The 22,687-nt window shown below is 46.4% G+C and overlaps 1 protein-coding gene and 1 long non-coding RNA gene across 2 annotated transcripts in view; one reads left to right on the forward strand and one right to left on the reverse strand.

The window, feature by feature from the left end:
• Positions 1-22,687, reverse strand: part of PRKX (protein kinase cAMP-dependent X-linked catalytic subunit) — a 109,310-nt gene that overhangs the window by 54,258 nt on the left and 32,365 nt on the right. The window contains exon 2 of the mRNA NM_005044.5: positions 16,001-16,169. Coding sequence (NP_005035.1) covers positions 16,001-16,169 — 169 coding nt within the window. The remainder of the gene's footprint in view (positions 1-16,000; positions 16,170-22,687) is intronic.
• PRKX-AS1 (PRKX antisense RNA 1) lies at positions 890-9,595 on the forward strand. Its single transcript, NR_046643.1, has 3 exons — positions 890-941; positions 8,685-8,889; positions 9,337-9,595. It is a non-coding gene; the product is annotated as a PRKX antisense RNA 1 (long non-coding RNA).

Below are 22,687 nucleotides of genomic sequence, written 5' to 3' on the forward strand. Positions count from 1 at the left end.
TTTTGGAGAGGACTCGGAAGACACCAGCATGCCCGTGTTCCCATGAGCACATGAGCCTTCACCAGTAGAAGACACCCAATAGAATCAGGAGCATAAAGGTCTTCAACCATGACCAGGACCCGTGCCAGTTTTGTCTCATCTGATCATGATGCTATCACAGATGCTCCCCTGCAAGCTCATTCAAATGAGCTGCACCCCGCTGGTATACAAAGAAAACAAAATGAGGCCCAGGAAACCTTCCCTGAGGACAGGGAAGGATGCTCAAGGTCGACCGGATGGTCTTGTCTGCTAGCACAGGCCATTCCACCAAAACAATGTAGAATGAAGGCAAGGACGTGGGAGACAGCTTGCAATGACACAGAGATTAATGCTAAGAAAAATCATAGGCTGGGCACGGCGGCTCAATGCCTGTCATTCCAGCACTTTGGGAAGCCAAGGCAGGAGGATCACTTGAGGCCAGGTGTTGGAAAGCAGCATGAGCAGCACAGCAAGATCCCGTCTCTACAATAAAAGAATCAGCCAGGCATGGTGGCATCCCAGCAATTCGGGAGGCTGAGGTGGGAAGATCATTTGAGCCCAGGAATTGGAGGCTGCAGTGAGCTATGATCACAACATCACTGTACTCCAACCTGGGTGACAGAGCAAGACCTCATTTCTAAAAGGAAAAAAAAAAAAAAATAGACACATGCTACTGTGAATTTTAAATGAACATTTATTTGACTAATCACAATGTTTTTATGTATTAGCAAAAATATGGGCCTCTTATAAAAAAGGCTCTTACCTAACGCACTTTTAAATTTGCAGATTCTGCAATGATGCTGGAGGTGGGGGACTAATGACCCACACATACAGGTTGCAGGAATGCCTTCTGCTCTCCACCTTGCTGCTGGATTCCTGCCCCTCAGCAGCTGGGTGGCTGAAGGGAGCTCAGGAAGCTCAGGGTTAGACATTTCTTCTGTTTTTTTTCCTTCAGTTACTGAAGGCTGTGCACCTGTGTCCCACCTCTCCATTCACTTCTTATAGCTCAGCAAGTTCAAAATGTGTGGTCTTGAGGCATAAAGGGAAGCAGGGACACTATATGAGGAAGGAGAAGTATTTTGTTGGAGTGGTGTTTTTTTTGTTTTTTTTTTTGTTTTTTTTTTTTTTGAGACAGTCTTGCTCTGTCACCCAGGCTTGGAGTGCAATGGCACGATCTTGGCTCACTGCAACCTCCGCCTCCCGAGTTCAAGTGATTCTCCCGCCTCAGCCTCCCGAGTAGCTGGGATTACAGGCGCATGCCACCATGACCGGCTACTTTTGGTATGTAGTGGCTGTTTTCCAGAGCAATCTGCTGGAGTTCTAAAAGACCCAGCACATACCCACATTCCTTCCATCTTATCACTGACATCTCGACTCATTTTCTCCCAGCTAAATGCCCTGTTTTTCTGCTTTGCACCGTTATTGGTTGGGCAAGAGTGTTCCTCTCAGTAATATTTCGTGATTAAGCACATGGCATCTCAAATGCATGACAGTCAAACTGTACTTTTGTGGATGAGCTTAGAAGACAACCATGATTTCATGATTTCACTGTTCTGGTGGGGAAATATTTTCCAAGGTCCAAATACTATCGTACTAGTGAACTTTTACAATAAACTTCTGTGTCAGCTGGTGACTTTCTAAATTTCTTCAGGGCGCAAGGTGGAAGGAAAATTTAGCTACGACTGACCAGCCAAGGTGTGATACTGAACATTTGGGGGTAACACTGAGCTCTTGAAAATACCATTAATAGTCAAAGCAATAGCAAGACCACTGTCTACAACTGTTAATTTGGTTGAAGAGAATATACATGGCTCTACTTCCCTATGGCTCAAATATGTAAGAAAAAGATGGACGCATGCTTACACACACACATACAAACACACTCTCTCTCTCTCTATCAATTAGCTTGCAACACATTTTTGGATATATCCTGTATCCTCCCCCATCTACCTCACTCTGGGATAATAATCTGCACAGATCCTCTTAAGAATAATGCATCACCTTGTCACAATGTAGCAGCAGGTCACCTTTCAGGAGCATCAGAGATAATTAACCATGGTGGGAGATTAGAAGGATTTGGGTAGGTTAGAAGCAAGGAATGAAAGAACTTTGAGGATTACACAGGCATGTAGAATACGCAAGCCCTGACAATACAAACATCTCAGGTTCGGTCACTTGGCTTGCAGGGGAAGTTGCAATTTCAACCATGGGTAGGATGATCTGTAGAGGAAGAGAGTTAGGGCTTTGTATCAAATGAGAAGAGGAGGGAAGGGACGAGGAGAGGAGGGGAAGGAAGAAGAGGTGGGGAGAGGAGGAGAGAAAGCAGGGGAGAAAAAGTTACTGCACGAGTGGGGAAAACTACTGAGATGTGTAAGGTTGTATGAAAATACATCTGTTCCACAAGTGTCTCAGTAAAATCAACATCAACAAACCACAAGGCTTAATAAAGTCACCTTATCAGTATATATGAAATGGAGACATCATTTTTACCTATACACTAATGCGGGATCACCCTTCAGCATCTTTAAGAAGTAACAGTTTACAAAGAGAGTTAGCAAGTAAAAACATACTCCTTTAAGAAAAAGAAAAATCTAGATAACTGGGATTCTCTTGCCCTTCCCCAAACCAATAAGATTAAGTAAATATTATAAGAAAAAAGAAGTTCTCTGACACATCCTTCCTTCAAATCTTTTATCAGTAAGACTTTGCAGGCGAGTGTGGTGGCTCACACCTGTAATCCCAGCACTTTGGGAAACTGAGGCAGGAGGATCACTTGAGACCAAGAGTTTGAGACTAGCCTGGGCAAAATAGGGAGACTCTGTCTCTGCAAAAAATAAAAAGATTAGCTAGGTGTGGTTGTGCAGGCCTGTAGTCCCAGGTACTTAAGAGGCTGAGGCAGCAGGACAGCCTGAGCCCAGGAGTTGAAGCTATGACTGAACCTCTGCACTCCAGCCTCAGTGACAGAGCCAGACCCTATCTGGAAAAAAAAAAAAAGACTTTGCTTACGTGGACAGAATTTGTACAGAGCTGGGTATCACTAAAGATAAGGAACAAAATGTTGAAAGAGATACTGACTTTACTATCTCCAAAAAACATTCACAAAACTTAAGTCATCATGTGCAGGGGCTGTGGGATAGGACGAGTTTAGTGACCACAGGTGATTTCAAATCTGAGCTTAGAAAATTAGAAACCAATGCATCAGTTCAATGATTCCAGTTACCTGAGGGACTCTGCCCCTGACATCAAGTCTATAAAAGTTCAAAAGCAATAGAAGATAAGAGGGTTTATCACAATGGATATGAGAAGTATGTTCAAGATCTAACACTTACTGTACATACTAGCCTCAGCAATCAATGAATTCATCAACACATTAATCAGTAACTCACCAGCCACATTCTTTATTGGTTTCCAAATGTTTTGGACAAGGGCCCCTTATGTGCCAAGTAATGTTCTCGGTACATAGTATCAGGAACGGCAGATCTTGTGACTGTCATGAGCTTTGCAGGCTTGATGTGGAACAGACATTACATAGTAAACTTGGAAGGATGGCTGGAGGGGGTCCTGTAAGACCAGGTAGAAGGTGGGGACAGGGAGGCAGGGGGCATCTCTGTCCCCACAGCTGAAGGCCAAAGGAAGATTGGGGAGAGACACAAAAGAGCTGGAGGCCAGGTGCGGTGGCTCACGTCTGTAATTCCGGCACTTTGCGGGGCCAAGGTGGCAGATCGCTTGAGCCCAGGAGCTCAAAACCAGCCTAGGCAACAAAGCAAGATCACGTCTCTACAAAAAATTAAAAATTAGGGCCAGGCGCAGTGGCTCATGCCTGTAATCCCAGCACTTTGGGAGGCCAAGGTAGGTGGATCACGAGGTCAGGAGATCGAGACCATCCTGGCTAACATGGTGAAACCCCATCTCTACTAAAAATACAAAGTATTAGCTGGATGTGGTGGCGGGCGCCTGTAGTCCCAGCTACTTGGGAGGCTGAGGCAGGAGAATGGCGTGAACCTGGGAGGCGGAGCTTGCAGTGAACCAAGATCACACCACTGCACTCCAGCCTGGGGGACAGAGTGAGACTCCATCTCAAAAAAAAAAAAAAAAAAAAATTAAAAATTAGGTGGGCATGGTGATATGCACCTGTACTCCTATCTACTTGAGAGACAGAGGTAGCAGAATCACTTGTGCCCAGGAGTTCAAGATCAGCCTGGGCAACATAGCAAGACCCCCAAAATTTAAAAATCAGCCAGGCTTGGTGGTGCAGGCCTGTAGTCCCAACTATCTGGGAGGCTGAGGTGGGAGGATAACTTGGGCCCAGGAGAATGAGGCTGCAGTGAACTATGATGGCACCACTGCACTCCATCTTGGGCAACAGAGAAAGGCCCTGTCTTTAAAAAAAAAAAAAAAAAAAAAATTAGAGATGGGGTCTCACTAAGATGCCCAGGTTGGTCTCAAACTCCTGGCCTCAAGCAATCCTCTCACCTCAGCCTCTGACAGTGCTGAGATTATAGGCATGAGCCACTACGCCCTGCCTATTTTCACATCAGAAACGTTTGGGCTGATACAGCAGGAAGGGGTGAGTTCAGCAGAGATCAGAGATCAGTGGAGAGAAGGGGAGGGAATTTAGATAAGCTATGGCAGCTTCTGTGAAGACATCATTGATGTGGATGGGCTCTGGAGATGTGTTTGAGAATTGGAAAGGGGCAAGGCATGGCGGTGTGCACCTATAATCCTAGCTACTTAGGAGGCTGAGGCAGGGGAAATGCTTGAAATTATGAGTTTGAGACCAGCCTGAGCAACACAGTGAGATCTTGTCCCTACACACACACACACACACACACACACACACACACACACACACAAAAAAATTCAATTAGCTGGACATAGTGGTGTGCACTTGTGGTCCCAGCTACTTGGGAGGCTGAGGTGGGAGGATCTCTTGAGCCCAGGAGGTCAAGGATGCAGTGAGCCATGATTGCACCACTGCACTCCAGCCTGGATGAGACGGCAAGACCACATCTCTTAAAAAAAAAAAAAAAAAAAAAAGTTAAAAGGGCAGGACTCAGGATTACAGTGAATGCAGAGTCAAAGAAAAGGAATAAAAAATGGTTCCTGGGTGAGCCCCAAGAGCTGGAAGGACCACCTATGAAATGGGGAAGTGCAAATGAGGAACTGATTAGGGCTGAGGGGCAAGGAGGAAGAGCAGGAACTCATTTTTGGTGAGAGGCATCTGAGCAGAAGGCTCAGAGAGTGGTCAAGTGGGCGCACACATGTAGCTTGGCAGGCTGAAGGGGTGGGCTGGCAGCAGCGCTTGGGAATCTTGAGACCAGCAAGACAGCGAATGCAAATACAGAGAAAGAGGAATGAGAGGGCAGAGGGGCTCCTGTTTCCCACTGTGGGGTCCAAGGAAACGTCACCAGGAAGTACATGCCCACAGGCACACAGCCTTGCTCCTAGGGTCACATGCACCCTCCCATCCTCTGCAACACTGCCTTGCACAGCTGAGCTCCTCTCGAGGAGAAGTGAGGTCACCTCCCCTGCTGCACGCACTGGAAGACCTCCTCCGCACCAGCAGCGCATCCATGGCCCCTTTCCTCCACTTCCACACCAACATCTGTTGTTTTCTTACTTTTTTGTTTTTTTCCTAGATAGGGTCTCGCTCTGTTGTTGCATAGGCTGGAGTGCAGTGGCGCAACCATAGATCACTGCAACCTTCAACTCCTGAGCTCGAGCAATTCTCCCACCTCAGCCTCCTGAAGAACTGTGACTATAGGCGTGCAACACCATCCCTCGCTATTTCTTCGAGCTTTTTGTAGAGACAGGGTCTCCCTATATTGCCCAGGCTGTTCTAAAACTCCTGGGCTCAAGCGATCCTCCTGCCTGGGTCTCTCAAAGTGCTGGGATTATAGGCGTGGGCCACCATGCCTGGATTTTTTTGAGTTTTTGTAACAGCCATTCCAATAGATGACTGGATAAAGAAAATTTAGTATATAAAAGTCACAGAAAATGTAGTATATCGACACCACCATAAAAAATAAAATCATGTCTTTTGCAACGACAGGGATGGAACTGGAAACCACTATCCTAAGTAAAATAACTGAGACACAGAAAGTCAAATACCGCATAGTCTCACTCAAAAGTAGGAGCTCAACAGTGGGTCCACATGGACACAGAAATGGAAATAACAGATACGGGGACTCCCAAAAGGGGAAGGCTGGGAAGGGGTTGAGGGCTGAGAAATAACCTATTGGGTACAATGTTCACTATTCGGGTAAGGGGTACCCTAGAAGCCCAAAGCTCACCATAACATGATACATCCATGTACCAAACGTCCACGTGTATCCCTGAATGTCTAAAGATTAACAACAACACAATAATAATACAACTTCTCCTCCTCAAAATACCCCAGAGGGATCTCCAAGAAAACAAGAGACAAAAATGATGCATACTCTAGTGGCATGAGGCCAAAACTGCACGGGGCGCGCGCGTGTGTGTGTGTGCATGCATATATGTGTGCGTGCATGTGTGTGTGCACGTGCACGTGTGTGTGCTTGTGTGTGTGCGTGCTTGTGTGTGTGCGTTTGTGTGAGGGGGCTTTTTTAACACAAAGAAAAGTACAGAAGGATCCATACCAGGCTGTGAAATAGTTACCTGGCAATGAGGAATTCCAGATCAGCCCAGTCAACAAGGTGAAAACCCATATTTACTAAAAGTACAAAATTAGCTGGGGGTGGTGGTGCATGCCTGTAATCCCAGCTACTCAGGAGGCTGAGTTGGAAGAATCGCTTGAACCCAGGAGGCACAGGTTGCAGTGACCCAAGATCACAACACTGCACTCCAGCTGGGGTGACAGAGCGAGACTCCATCTCTAAAAAATAATAATAATAAATTAAAACAATGTATTCAAGCAGCTGAAATCAGGCACTGGACAGATATTTGCCAAACCTTGTTCATAGCAGCATTATTCACTACAGCCAAGAGGTGGAAGGCACCCCAGTGTCCAAGGATGAATGAATGGGTAAACACAACATGCTGTATCCTCTATACGATGGAATAGTACTCAGGCTTAGAAAGGAGGGAAATTCCTTTCTACAGGACGGGGGAATCTGAAGGACATTACAGTAACTGAAAGAAGCCAGTCGCAAAAGGACAAATGCCGTATGATTCTGCCTATATAAGGCTCCTAGAATCACCAAATTCATAGAGCAGAGAGTACGAGGGAGGTTGCCAGGGCAGGGCTGGAGGGAGGGGCAATAAGGCGTGTTTCATGAGGACAGAGTTTCAGTTGGGGAAGATGAAAAGGAGTTCTGGAGATGGATGGGGATGGGGATGGGGATGGGGTGGCGGTTGCACAGAAACATGAATGTGCTCCATGCCACTAAACAGTGTTTTGTTTTTTTTGTTTTCTGTTTTTTTTTTTTTGAGACAGAGTCTTACTCTGTTGCCCAGGATAGAGTGCAGCGACACAATCTCAGCTCACTGCAATCTCCGCCTCCTGGGTTGAAGTGATCCTCCTGCCTCAGCCTCCCGAGTAGTGAACTGTACATTTTTTTTTTTTTTTTTTTTGAGACAGAGTCTCGCTCTGTTACTCAGGCTGGAGTGCAGTGGTGCGATCTTGGCTCACTGCAAACTCTGCCTCCCAGGTTCATGCCGTTCTCCTGCCTCAGCCTCCCAAGTAGCTGAGGACTACAGGCACCCGCCACCACGCCCAGCTAATTTTTTTGTATTTTTAGTAGAGACGGGGTCTCACTGTGTTAGCCAGGATGGTCTTGATCTCCTGACCTCGTGATCCGTCCACCTCGGCCTCCCAAAGTGCTGGGATTACAGGCGTGAGCCACCACGCCCAGCCGTGAACTGTACATTTTAAAAATGGTTAAAATGAGGCCGGGCATGGACGCTCATGCCTGTAATCTCAGCACTTTGAGAGGCCAAGGCAGGAGGATTGAGTGAGATCAGGAGTTTGAGAACAGCCTGGGCAACAAAGCAAGATCACATGTTTGCCAAAAATTAAAATATTAACTGGGCATGGTGGCATGTGCCTATAGTCCCAGCTCAACTTGAGAGCCTGAGGTAGGAGGACTGCTTGAGCCTGGTAGTTGGAGATCAGCCTGTGCAACACAGCGAGACCCTGTCTCTACCAAAAATTAAAAAATTAGCCAGGCGTGGTAGTGCGCACCTGTAGTCCCAGCTACTTGGGAGGCTGAGGCAGGAGGATCACCTGAGCCCAGGAGGTTGAGGCTGCAGTGGGCCATGATTGCACCAGTACACTGCAGCCTGGGCAACAGAGCAAGACCTCATTTCTTTTAAAAAAAAAAAAAAAAAAAAAGGAAGTTAAAATAGTAAACTGTTATGTGATATATGTTAACAAAATAAAAAAATTAAATTTTAAAGAATGTTTTCCAGCATAGAGAGCAATCTATGAATCTATGAACGGGGGGAAAGTCAACATGAAGAAAGAGTCAATGTCGTCAACAACGACTGAGACAAGGGAGGTTTCCAAGTCCCCTCCCCATCCTCTCCAGTGACCTCAGCTGAGCAGCTCTGTCCTCATCTTTAGCTGACAGCAGCACTTTTCCATCCGCGAAGCTGATCTGCAGTCTTTTATTTGCAGGGTCTGCGGGGATGGCTTGTCCTCTAAGGGATTTTTTTGCTTTTGTTTTTGTTTTTATGAACAGGCAAATCAGCCTCACTAATTTGGAGACGCCTTACCGTAGAAGTTGGTCCTCCTCTCTCCAGAGCCCGCCATAAAGCTGGGCTTTTGTGGTGAGAAGAAGAAAATGAGCCATCCTCATCCCATCTCCTCCAACATCTATGCCATGTGAGGCTCCAGAACGGCTCTACTTTCCGACCTGGCTGCACTGCAACTAGCCCTTAACCAAGGTGACCTAGCAGCCCTCGGTGGCTCCATCCACCTGTGGCTTCCTCCCTCCAAGGACCCTGCCTCAGGCTCTCTTCTGAGACAGTTGCTGCAGATGTTTTGCCCTCAAAGTTTCCCAAATTGGAATGCACTCTCTCTCCCTGGATCTCCTCACTGTCCAGCAGCCCAAATGCACAGCTGAGCCAGAGCCAGTCCTTCCTTATATGCACAGCCGAGCCAGAGCCAGTCCTTCCTCATACCCCAGTCCCCATGGCAGTCTCCTACACATCTGGGTTCACTGCATTCCTGTGTCCACCTCCTGGCTGAACTCAGATTTGAGTTTCTCCCCCATGTCCCTCCTGCCCCGTAGTGACCCATGGCTTCCGTGTCACTCCCTGTCTAGAATGAGTTTCCACCACCCACCCCTTTCAGCCAATAAACCCCTACTCCTCCTGCAAAATTCTCCTTAGGTGTCCACTGCGTCTTCACCCCCTACCTCTTGCCCTCCAGAGCTGGTAAGGCCCCTTTTCCACGTATCGCTGGGACTCTTCTCACCCTACGCAGTTCTCCTTAGACCAAGGCACTGGAAGGCTTGGCATCAAATGGAAAACTCCATTCAGAAGACACTACAGTTGCATTCTCTTGCAAGAACTTAAACCTCCCTTTTCATACATAGAAAAAGGGAATCAAGGTAAAAAATAATAAAAAAGAAAAATATAGATAATAAAATAAGCCTCCCTTTTTGAAGCGTCTGCTTTGCCCCAAATACTAAACATGCAATGTATCATTTTTTGGACAAAGAAGAGGAAGAGAAGACCCAGGAGCTGCCTGCCTTCACTCTGGTCTCTGTGCTTTGCAGGCAGTGATGACAGAGCAAGAAGCGCTATTTCTAGATTTTTGCCTTTAAAATTCAAATAGAGAGCAAAATAAATAAATAAATAAAAGGAGAGAACATGGTGTTCTTTCTTCCTGAACTCTCAGTAAAACAAAGGAATGATTTTACTCCTACCCCCAACAAGTACCAATGACAATGGGGACCACACTCAAGTCTGCAGACTTTAAAAAAAGATGTTTCCAAGAGATGCATCCACTCTCCCCGAAGAAGAGGTTCTGGCATGAACTCCTCTCCATGGAGAAACGAGCGGTCATCCAGGAACTAGAAGGATGTGGCCCGGAGTGGAGAGACCTCTTGCCTTCCAAGTTCTGTAGAAGAAAGCTGGCTAAGCCCTGCAACCACAGACCAAACCCACTGGCTTGGCTCGGCTGCTGTGCCATAGATAATATGGCACTGGAACCACTGTTTGGCCCATAAGCCAATCAATCATGACAGAAGAGTGGGGCTGCAGGCTCAGGGGCTGGGGCAGAAAAGGGAGAAAGGGACTCCACACGCACAGGTATTTATCTGTCTGTGCATCCGCTACAGTGGGTGTCAATGGAGCTGATTCTGCTCCCCACAATAAACACTGGACAATGTCTGGAGACATCTTTGGCTGTCACGCTGGAGTGGGGGTGCTAGAGGCATCTGGTGGGTGGAGCCCAGAGACATTGCTCAGCACCCTACAGTGCACAGGGCGGTTCCACCGCAGAGAATCCTCCAGCCCCAAATGTCAGCAGTGCTGAGGTTGAGAAACTCTACTAATACGTTCCATCATCAATCTATCAATCAATCACCTATCTATCTCAATATCTATCAACCATCTACCATCTATAGCTACCAGCTATCTATCAATCAGCTATCATCTATAGCTATCATCTATCAATCACTTATCTAATATCTATCAACCATCTATCATCTATAGCTATCATCTACCTCAATATCTGTCATCTATCAAATATCTGTCTCAATGTTGATCTCCATCCATCCATCCATCCATCCATCCATCCATCCATCCATCCATCCATCAACTATCTGTCACAGTGGTTCACAACTGGGGATAACTTTTTGTCCCCCCATAGGGGGAACTTAGCAGTATCTAGAGACATCTTTAGATACTCGTCATAGATGGGATGGGTGCTCTTGGCATCTGCTGGGTGGAGTCCAGGGACGCTGCTCAACACCCTACAGTGCACAGGATGCCCCACCACAGAGTCCTCCATGATCCCGCCCCATGTGTCAGCACTGCTGAGGTTGAGAAACTCTCTTTTAGCATGAGAGCTCTGCCTACATGCAATCGGTCATTAATCTATCAATCAATCACCTACCCACCTCAATATCATCTATCATCTATAGCTGTATATATTAGTATCTATTATCTATCACCTATCTTAATATCATCTATTAGCTACCCATCATCTATCTACTCACCTATCAATCACCCATCATTTACACCTATCTTAATATCTATTATCTATCACCTATCCATCTCAACATATACCTACCTATCGTATCTATCATCTCTCTCTGTCCGTCGTCTGTCTATCACAGTGGTTCACTAGTGGAGAAAACTTTGCCCTCCCTCCCTGAAGGAACACTTGGTTATGTATGGAGACATTTCTGCTTTTCATAACTGAGGTTGCTGCTCCTGGCCGCTGGTGGGTGGAGCCCAGGGACACTCCCCAACACCCTGAAGTGTGCAGGACGGCCCCACCCCAGAGACTCCTCCAGCCATAAATGGGAGGCACCTCCGCTGAAAGTCCTCGTTTTATACCTTCATCAAGAAGTCCAAGGCCTAAAACTGCCCGTATGGGAAGCAGATGTTGAGCAAGGCAACTTACATTTAGAAGAGAAGCTGCACAGCTGGGAGGATGAAATTCATTCTTCACAGAGGATCTAGGATTCTCCTCTAAGACATGCTCCTCAGCATGCAACGTTGGACACCCTCCAGCATCTTATCCATGGGGCTGGCCAGACCCGGCGTGCTCTCTCGTGTTATGTACAGGGAATGCCAAGTGTCTGAATGCACTGGATCAACTTTAATCCAGTTCTTAAAGCCACTTGGTCCCTAAAGTGTTAATGCACAGAAAAAGCAAAATGCTATAGCAGGTTATCATAATACTGCAGGGCACCGAAAGATCAATTATCAGCAAGTCACTAAGGCGGTCTCATGGGCTAAGTTACATCACCCCCTCCAAGTCTACATTGTTTTTCGGATTCTTTTTTGAGACAGGGTCTTGCTCTGTCCCCCAGGCTGGAGTGCAGTGGCACAATCTCGGCTCACTGCAATCTCCGCCTCCCAGGATCAAGCGATCCCCCTACCTCAGCCTCCTGAGTAGCAGGGACTACAGGCCCCCCCACCACACCCAGCTAATTTTTGTACTTTTTGTAGAGACAGGGTCTTGCCATGTTGCCCAGGCTGGTCTCAAACTCCTGGGTGCAAGGGACACTCCCACCTCAGCTTCCTAAAATGCTGGGATTATAAGTGTGAGTCAACATGCCCAAGTGGCAAACTCATTTTCTGTCATTTTTTGGGAAAAGTCACCTGTAAATTGCTATCACCATTAAGTCTTTAAAGGCTCATTGTTGACAATCACTTCCCTAGATCCAAAACTTTTCATGAGAGCTGTGGACTTCAGGGCCTGCCTTGTTTTCTGCACTATTTCAAAATCAAAGAACTGTATTTATTTATTTATTTTTATTTATTATTATTTTTTGAGACAAAGTCTTGCTCTGTCACCCAGGCTGCAGTGCAGTGGCACGATCTTGGCTCACTGCAAGCTCTGCCTCCCAGGCTCAAGAGATTCTAGTGCCCCAGCCTCCCAAGTAGCTGGGTTATAGACGTGCGCCACCACGCCCAGCTAATTTTTGTATTTTTAGTAGAGACAGGGTTTCCCCATATTGGCCAGGCTAGAATTTTCTTTTTAATTTTTTTTCTTAAGAGACGAGATCTCACTATGTTGCCCAGGCTGGTCTGGAACTCCTGGTCTCAAGTGATCCTTCCGCCTTGGCCTCCAAAAATGCAGGGATTACAGGTGTGAGCCACCGAGCTCGGCCCCAAATCAGAGAATTCTGAAATGAGCCCCTGCCATGTTCTCCCAAAACACTGAATAAAATCCTCCCAAGAATAATATCGAAAGTGGCCTTAAATTCCATGTAGACTTTAAATGATGAGGAAAAATTCATGCTTTTTGGCAACACCACCAGGCGGACCTGACATACAAATAACAGCTCACATTCGACTGTAACCAGCACTCGGAGGAGCCGGTGAGCTGTACGGGCAAAGGACAACCCATGAAGCATCCAAAATGTCCTCTTCAAAAGCTGTCACGGTGCAGAGAAATTTCACTCCTTAAAAGTTAGAAATAGGCCAGGCACGGTGGCTCACATCTATAATCTCAGCATGTTGGGAGGCCGAGGTGGGAAGATCATTTGAGCCCAGGAGTTTGAGACTAGCCTGGGCAGCAAAGTAAGATCCCATCTCTACAGAAAATTTTAAAATGAGGTAGGTGTGGTGGTGCACACCTGTAATCCCAGCATGTCAGGAGGCCAAGGCAAGTGGATTGCTTGCAGCCTAAAGTTCAAGACCAGCCTGGGCAACATAGCAAGACCCTGTTCATAGAGAAAAAACAAAAACATTATCTTCACCAAAGAGGTTGTGAAAAATATATACATATGTTTTTTAAAAATTAAAAATAAATAAAAACATTAGCAGGGTGTAGTGATGGGTGCCTGTAGTCCCGGCTACTCTGGAGGCTGAGGAAGGAGGATGGCTTAAGCCCGGGAGGTTGGGGCCGCAGTGAGCTGTGATTGCACCATTGCACTCCAAGATGGGCCACAGAGCAAAACCCGTCTCTAAATGTAAATCTATATATATACTTTTTTATATAAAAGATAAAAATAAACCAACATAGGTAACTTTGAATAGAATTTCTAAAGTCTCTAGGGCTTTATATAAGACTTAAGAAATATAAACGACTTTGTTCCTTAATTGAAAGCAGGGAATATCAAAATCAGAATCCACGTCCCTGCAGGAATGCACCTTATCTGCCAAGGAAAACAGTCTTGAGCTATCCTGCCTTGAAGAAAGGAGAACTACCTAACTAAAGCTCTGTTCTACAAGCTCCTCCCTATTTTTTAACTTGCGGGAGCTCAAGAATTCCATCCTGGGGAATTCTCTCACTTGTATACTCCACCCACTCCCATGTCCATGCGGTTCTTCTGTGGGATTTTAGATTTCTGAACTGTAGAGTACTCAGGAGCCCATCGTCTCGGCTGCTCTCCTGCTCCAGGAGGCGCAGGGGGTGTGTGTGAGTTCCTCAGGGCTATCATTAACAAAGTACCACAAACTGGGGGTTGGGGTGGAGGGACGCGGCAGACAACAGACATGCATTCTCAGTCCAGGTGCAGGGGCTGACACCTGCAATCCCAGCACTTTGGGAGGCTGAGGCTGGAGGACTGCTTCAGGCCAGGAGTTTGAGACCAGCCTGGGCAACACAGCAAGACTTCATCCTACAAAAACTTTTAAAAGTTGGTCAGGCATGGTGGCATATACCTGTAGTCTCAACTAGTTGGGAGGCGGCAGAGGCTGCAGTGGGCCATGATTGTGCCACTGAATTCCAGCCTGGGCAAGAAGGAGTGAGACCCTGTCAAGAAAGAAAGAGAAATGCAGAAAGGAAGAAAGGAAGGGAGGAAGGGAGCCACCGCGCCCATCCTCTGCATATGATTTTGTTCGGAGCTTAGGCAGCATTGGGTCTAGAGGAGAAGGCAGGTGCACTTGTTCCAGTACACACGAGGTGCTTCAAGAACATGATGGGAGGCACCCTGTGTCCCGGGGACAGCAGGTGAATGAGGGAAAACAGGTAGGTGTTTCTTAGATGGGGGAAGTGAAGGACAATGATGAGAGCAAAGAAGGAGGCCTGTCAAAGAAGGGTGGCCTGGGAGAAGCCCCGGAATGAGTGTGTGAACAGCACCTTCTACCTTCTCCTGTAGGGAGGTGGTGGCAGGGGGCCAGTCCACGAGGATACTGGTAGGAGGATGCTGCATTGCTGGGGCTTTATATGGGATACTTCAGGAGTACCCTGAGGATGAAAGGAGAGAGGCAGGTCATTGCAGAGGTACCTGGGAGGACCAGTGAGGCTATAAAGTGAGGAATGTCTTCAAGGGGAGCAAGGCTGGGAGAGAAAGACCAGGTAGGAGGGAAGCCAGTACAGAAAATCAGGGCAGAGAGACGGGACCCAGATAAAGCAGAAGATGGATAGGTGGACAGGAGAGGCATGGTAGCAAGATGGCGGAGGGAAGACGTGGGAATTGGATGGAAGGCACCCATGGAGGGAAAGGAGAGACACGCAGGACATCCTTGTCTAAGGCATCTGGGTGGAAATGGAATTACCCTGCTGGAATGGTCTGAATATCTTGTGTCCTCCCAAATCCCTATGTTGGATCCTCACCCCCAAGGTGATGGTGTTAGGTGTTGTGTCCTTTGGGAGGTCATGAGGGTGAAGTCTCATGAATGGGACGAGTGCCCTTATAAAAGGGACCCCAGAGAGATCCCTCACCCCTTCCACCATGTGAGGACACAGTGAAAAGGCGCCATCTATGAACCAGGAAGCGGGTCCTCGCCAGACACTGAATCCACCGTGTCTTGATCTTGGACTTTCCAGCCTCCAGAACCATGAGGCAAATGTCTGTCATTTGTAAATTACCGAGTCTAGGATCCTTTGTTATAGCAGCCTGAATGGACTATCACACCTACCCTAGGACATAAGACTGTTGTGTACCATCAGCTGGAAGTGTGTGGGCTGCATCTCAACGGGGTATCTCTCATCCACAGTCAACCAGAAACCCAACGAAACCTGAAGCCCAGCCCCGTCCACGTGACTGTGGTCCCTTAAAAACCAACTTAACCAGTTCTGCCGAGAGCTATAGATGCAGAACCCAAGGAGGTGAGGAGACAAAGATTTCTGCATCCTTTTCCGGGCAGAGATACTTGGTTCACCCAGGAGAGGAGCAAGGGGCCTTGGGCACGGACTTCTGAACACAGAGCGTTTCTTTTTGGACCTGGTCAGCCATGGAGGTCAGGAGCCCTGGAGGTATTCCAGCTCTAAGATCAGAGGCTGATAAGACCTGACAGGTGGAGACTGCTGTGGCCTAAGGCTTTGCACGCAGGCCATGGTCTCGGCCCACCCAGCTTCTTATAAGAAGAGACACACAGGGGTCTAGGGAGAGTGCGTGGGGAGAGGCTTCAGGAGGGGACTCACAGCCTGATGAGGAACGGGTGGCTGACTTCCTTCAGGACAGACTTCTCATTGTGTACGTGTTGCTCCTGCTTTAGGCGGATGACGTCGGGAATGCTCATCACCTTGAGGGCGAAGAAATGCTTGGCTGTCTTCTCCTTCACCAGGTGCACCCGCCCGAACGTCCCAGTGCCTGGAGAGAGAAGAAATCGACAGAGGTCATTAAGTCTTCCGACAAAGGAAGAAACCACCACAGCCATGCAATCAGCGGGGGGCTGCACCAGGACGGCAAACACAGACCCCAAGTGAAACTTTCAGAGACTTTGTGTCATGGTGCACGTGGGCTGATGGCATTTAGTGAGAGGCGCTCACCTGGAATTTTCCACTGAATACAGAAATTGCAGAGAGAGAAAGAGGGAGAGAGAGGGAGACAGAGAGAGCCATCTGCCTCTGAATGGTTCCTCAATTTGGGGACAAACTGGCCATAATTTCTGCAGATCAGTCTTCGCACACAGCACACCCACACGCCCCACACACCCACATGGAGAAGCATTAGAGTAATAGTAAATGTATTTATATAACATGCCTTTTTCTCTTCAGGCTCTCTGGTTTTATCAGAAATACAGACAGGGTGTAAAACACACAGCCCTCCTCAACACGGCTGTTTCCTTAACGCACATTAAGGCTTGCTCAAAGTACGGAGTCCGTATTCTACAATCTGGCGTGGGTTGGGATGAAGTGCTATATAGGTGCCCACAAACAGAAAACAAAACAACAACAACAACTGCAACCACTACAAATATAAAAGAAAACCAATAGCTCTACTGTATTCTGCTGGGACATTTTCAATCCAAACACTCTCTTCTCCTCCTTCCCCTCCTCCATCTCTTCCTTCTCTTTTTTCTCTTCCTCAATCTTCTCCTCCTTCTCTTTCATCTCTTCCTTCTCCTCTACATCCTTTTCTTTTCCACTTCTTCCTCCTCCTCCATCTCCTCCTCCTCTCCCTCCTCTTCCTCCCACTGGGGTGCATGTAAATGAAGAAATCTAATAGTCAATGAGATATAAAAGAAAATCAAAATCTCTAAACAAGCTTTGCTTGTTCCTCCTCCTCCTTTCTCCTCCTCCCTCTCCTCTTCTTCCTCTTCATCCTCCTCCTCTTCCTGTAACACACTGATCCTACAAGGTGTGCACGTGTTCACGCACATATTGAAATATTCTTCACGTAGCATAAATGTTCTTGGGTTAATGGAACGAATAGTGCAGTGGCGCCATCACAGCTCACTGTAGCCTCTACCTCCTGGGCTCAAGCAATCTTCCCGCCTCAGCCTACCCAGTTAATTTTTGTACTTTTTGTAAAGAGGGGGTCACACTGCGTTGCTCAGGCTAGCCTTGAACTCCTGGGCTCAAGTGATCCTCCTGCTTCGGCCTCCCAAAGTGCTGGGACTACAGGCATGAGCCACTGCAACTGATGCAGGATTTCTAGAGTATCCCTAAATTGCCTTTGACGTACCTTGATCCCAGCGTCAGCAGCCCCTTACTGACATGCAAGTCATTCCTCAGCAATATTTTTAAACAACGCATTCACAGCTGCAGACAGAGATGAGCAACTAAAACAAAACTGCCCTCCCGTATTATGTGATCACACCCACCCCAAACAGCAGAGAGGCTTCTCAGAAACTGACATTCAGAGAAAGGATGGTTTGGAAGTGTATCCTTCTGAGGAACCAACATCTGTTGACGAGCAAATCTCACCGATCAATATTGATCCATTTACCTATCCATTCATTGGCTGGTACTCCTGTGCCTGCTTTATGCTAGATTGCAAAACCCAAGAGAACCAGGATCTTCCAGACACCTGCACTCCCATGTTTATGACAGCACTATTCACAACAGCCAAGGCGTGGAAACAACCTCAGTGTCCGTCCAAGGGCAAATGGATAAAGAAAACATGGTACATATACACGATGGAATACCATTCAGCCCTAAAAAAGAAGGAAACTCTGGCATTTGCAGCAACATGGATGGAACTGGAGGCCATTATGTTCAGTGAAATAAGATAGGCACAGAAAAACAAATATTAAATATTGCATGATCTCACTTATACAAGGAATCTGACATGGCTTGGCTGTGTCCCCACCCAAGTCTAATCTTGAAGTGTGGCTCCCATAATCCCCACGTGTTGTGGGAGAGACCAGGTGGGAGGTAACTGAATCATGGGGGTGGGTTTTCCCATGCTGTCCTCCTGATAGTGAATAAGTCTCACGAGATCAGATGTTTTAATAAATGGGAGTTTCCCTGCTCGGGCTCTCTTCTTGCCTGCTGTCATGTAAGACGTGACTTTGCTCCTCCTTTTACCTTCTGCCATGACTGTCGGAACCTCCGCAGCCATGTGGAACTGTGAGTCCATTAAACCTCTTTCCTTTATAAATTAACCAGTCTCAGGTATGTCTTCATTAACAGCATGAGAATGGACTAATGCAGAATCTACAATAGTCAAACTCATAGAAGCAGAGAGTAGAGAGGTAGTTATCAGAGGGTAGGGCTTGAGGGGGAAGGGGAAATATATTGGTCAAAGGATACAAAGTTTTAGTTGAACAAGATAAACCATGGAGATCTACCATACACCTAGTTCATATAGTTAACAATACTGAACTGATAAATGAAATTTTATATATAAATAGCTCACATATACAATAGTAAAATTGTATATATGAAAATTTGCTTAGAGGGTAGATCACATTATATTGTTTTGTCTTTTTTTTTTTTTTTTTTTGAGACAGGGTCTCTCTCTGTTGCCCAGGCTGAAGTGCAATGGCACAATCAATAGCTCACTGCAGCCTTGACCTGCCAGGCTCAAGTGACCCTCCCACCTCAGCCCAAATAGTTGGGACTACAGGCGTGCACCACCAAGGGCGGATAATTTTTTAAATTGTGACTGGGTATTTTTGACTGGTTTGAGAAGGAAAAAAAAAGACCACAACCATACAATGGATTTCCTTCCAAGAGTCTGGAATGCCATTGATTGCACATGGTAACGTGAAAAGAAAAAGTTGTACTTAAGCTACCAATTTTACTTAGAGTATTTGCTGTAAACTAAAATCCCCATGTTGTAAAATATCTAAGCTAATGAATGATGAATTTACTAGCTTATAGGGCAGACTGGGAAGGGAGGAGGAGAAGTAACCTTTGCTTTTTAAGTGAAGTTTCCGATACTGAATATTTTATTATGGCAGAAATAGAAAGTGAACTACAAGATAAAGAAAAAGTGTAAGAAGGAAACAATGTCAATAGCTGACAGGTGTTAAATATTTCTTTAAAAAAAGTAAACAAATAATGAAATAGTAACACATTTTTAAAGTATATTCTCTTAGTTAATTTGGAAATAAAATAGGTTTTATTACAGTACAACATGGTGTGGACAAAATTAGGTGGAATCAGGTCAAAGACAGGAAGTGGGAGAAGGGCTTTGAGGACTGTGAACTGATACAGTTTAGGTGTTTGACTATGGCCACTGATGTTTCAATTGGATAAAACACAATTAGGAATCAGGAACACTGGCATCCAACCCAAGCTTATCCTGCCATTGGACCTATGAAATGGGCAACAGAGTAACCTTTTAACCTTTTAGTCTCCTGTTGCTCTTCTTTCCAACAGAACTTGCATATTATTAGGAAACATTAAATTCTTGCCACACCCTAAAATTCTAATAATGCAATGAATATGGTCCTTGACTTTTCTTCCTCTATCTGGTTCCTTCCTCCTTATTTATCTTTCTCTATCACCCACCCCAAGGAACCCATTCATTACTTGGCTGTGTTTACTGCATAACATTCTGTCTTAGTACTTGTATTTGACCCTCAACAGAGAGAATTCTCCATGCCTACTTTAAGAACAACAGCTATGACTCAACAGATTTTTTACACTTCTGTGACTTCTTTAAAGCTTTCTCTGAGCTGTGTGCATTATAAACATACAAAACTCAAAACACGTTACTTATGCACTGCAGCGGATCTTTGCGCTACCCTGGGAGATATTGTCAGTCCCGCCAACGCCACAATCAGACTGCAGAAGTATGTCGGTAAACAACCTTACTCAAAGCAGACAGAAGTGGCATGCTGTAATGTTTAAGGTTTATCAGCTTAAGTGCACAGAAGACAAAGGCAACATTTAATGGTGCTGGTAGATCTTCCCCGCTTGGTGTTGGAAGGCTCTCCAGTACACATTCCCCAGTTATCATTATCCCACTTGAGGAGAAAATGTCTATTTGTAGCCTTCTCTGCAGCTAAGGGTGGCCATCTGACCCAGCTTTGCCCAATAAGACATAAAAAAAGAGTGTTTTCAAGTGTTTCTAGGCAGGTCAGCTCTTTCCTTCCTGATAAGGGAGATCTTGAAGGTAAGTGGTCCATTCCCCACCCTAGAGATCCCCTCCATCTCTCTCCAAGCTAAGTAGTAGTGTTATGCACGAGGGAAATCAGATGTGGAGTTTATGTCTTTTCTTTTAATTTTAGATTCAGGGGGTCCATGTGCAGGTTCATTACATGGGTATATTGCATGATGCTGAGGTTTCGGCTTCTAATGATCCCGTTGCCCAAGTAGTAAACAGTTTCTAATAGGAAGTTTTTCAGTCTTTTCCCCACTCCCTCCCTTCCTCTTTTTGGAATCCCCAGTGTTTATTGTTCCCATCTTTGTGTCCATGAAGTACTCAGTGTTTAGATCCCACTTATAAGTGAGAACATGCAATATCTGGCTCTCGATTTTTTGCATGAATTTGTTTAGGATAGCAGCCTCCAGCTGCATCCACTTTGCTGCAAAGGACACGATTCTGTTCTTTTGCAGGGCTGCAATGTGGAGATTAAAGTCAAAGCTTTAAGGGGAAAGCTTAAGTATGGGTTCTACAATCCCTTACCCACAGTGGCTAAAGCTAAAGGCTCTGAATACTCAAAGTGTCTTCATCAACACACCTGGCCGCAAAACTGGACCTTGCCTAACGTGAGACTGTTCAGGCTTGATCCTCCTTGGGGTGAATATCTACCTATTTCACTACAGAAATATTCTTGTCTTGATAACAACATCCAGCCCAGACTCTGCTGAGGGTGTTGTATAATTAAAAAGGACATGCACCCATTCTCATCCCAAATTTAGAAAAATCCCCAAATTCCCAAATATACCTGATCTATACATTTCAGAGACTTAGAAGGACCATGGCAATCTCGGGAAGGTGTGGCTACTTTTAAGGTGGGCACGCCCTTTTTATAGCAGGTGCAATACAGTGGGCTTTTCCTCCAACATTCAAAGAGTTGTTTCTCCAGCCAAGTGCCAGACGAGGAAGGTGGATCAGATTTATGAGCCATTCTATGTGTGCAATTCTGATCTGTAAACATTAATGCGGGGTGGACTCAGGTCTCCTCTCTCCCACTGGAGAACCTCCTGCTTTTTGAAAGCCTCTGACAGTGTGGCCACTCTCTCTGCATTCCCTCATCCATCTATCCCTCCTCCCCTACCCTATCCATCCTTCCCAAGCCCTTGGGTCCAACTCACACACAAACACATCCTGGCCTGTTGTTGTTGTTGTTGTTGTTGTTGTTGTTGTTACAGAGTCTCACTCTGTCGCCCAGGCTGGAGTGCAATGGCGCAATCTCAGTTCACTGCAACCTCTGCCTCCTGGGTTCAAGCGATTCTCCTGCCTCAGCCTCCAAAGTAGCTGGGATTACCGGTGCCCGCCACCCCGCCTGGCTAATTTTTGTATTTTTAGTAGTGACAGGGTTTCACCATGTTGGCCAGGCTGGTCTCAAACTCCTGACCTCAAGTGATCCACCCACCTCGGCCTCCCAAAGTGCTAGGAGTACAGGCATGAGCCACTGCACCTGGCCACATCCCAGCTTTCTGTCTGGAGGGATGGGAAGAAGGAGAAAGACGACCTCCACACTCCCAATAAAGAGCAAACATCATAAACTTCAACTTTCCCAGAAAAATGCCATGGGCATCTTCTGAGCTCCACCCAAATACAGGCATGTGTAACTGTAAACATACACATACACATTACGGTCACCAAAAAATGACAGCCTTTATCCCGAATGTTTAGACAACTCAGCAGAACTAAAATATTAGGTGAATCACCATGACCATGGAAAATGCTGAAAGGTTCCCTTGTTAGTGAAGACTCACAACTGGCGGCTTGGGGGCTGGGGGGAATCTACAGCCAGGCACCGTAGCTCGCAACTGTAATCCCAGCACTTTGGGAGGCCAAGGCAAGAGGATGGCTTCAGGCCAGGAGTTCTCGACCAGCTTGGGCAACACAGCGAGAGCCCCTTGTCTACAAAAACATAGAGATCTCATCCCTATTAAAAGAAATTAGCCAGGAGTCATGATGCACTCCTGCAGTCCCAGCTACTGGGGAGGCTGAAGTGGGAGGATCACTTGAGCCCAGGAGGTGGAGGCTGCAGTGAGCTATGGTTGCCACCGCACTGCAGTCTGGGCAACAGAATGAAACCCTGTCTCCAAAAATAAATAAATAAAAAATAAATAAGGCCAGGCACAGTGGTGCACACCTGTAATCCCAGCACACTGGAAGGCTGAGGTCAGAGGACTGCTTGAGCCCAGGAATTCCCGACCAGCCTGGGCAACATGGTGAGATCCCTATCTCTACGAAAAAATACAAAAATTAGCCAGGCATGGTTGTGTGCACCTGGAGTCCCAACTGCTCAAGAGGCC

The sequence above is a fragment of the Homo sapiens genome, chromosome X, assembly GCF_000001405.40.
Source record: "Homo sapiens chromosome X, GRCh38.p14 Primary Assembly".
Lineage (NCBI taxonomy): Eukaryota > Metazoa > Chordata > Mammalia > Primates > Hominidae > Homo > Homo sapiens.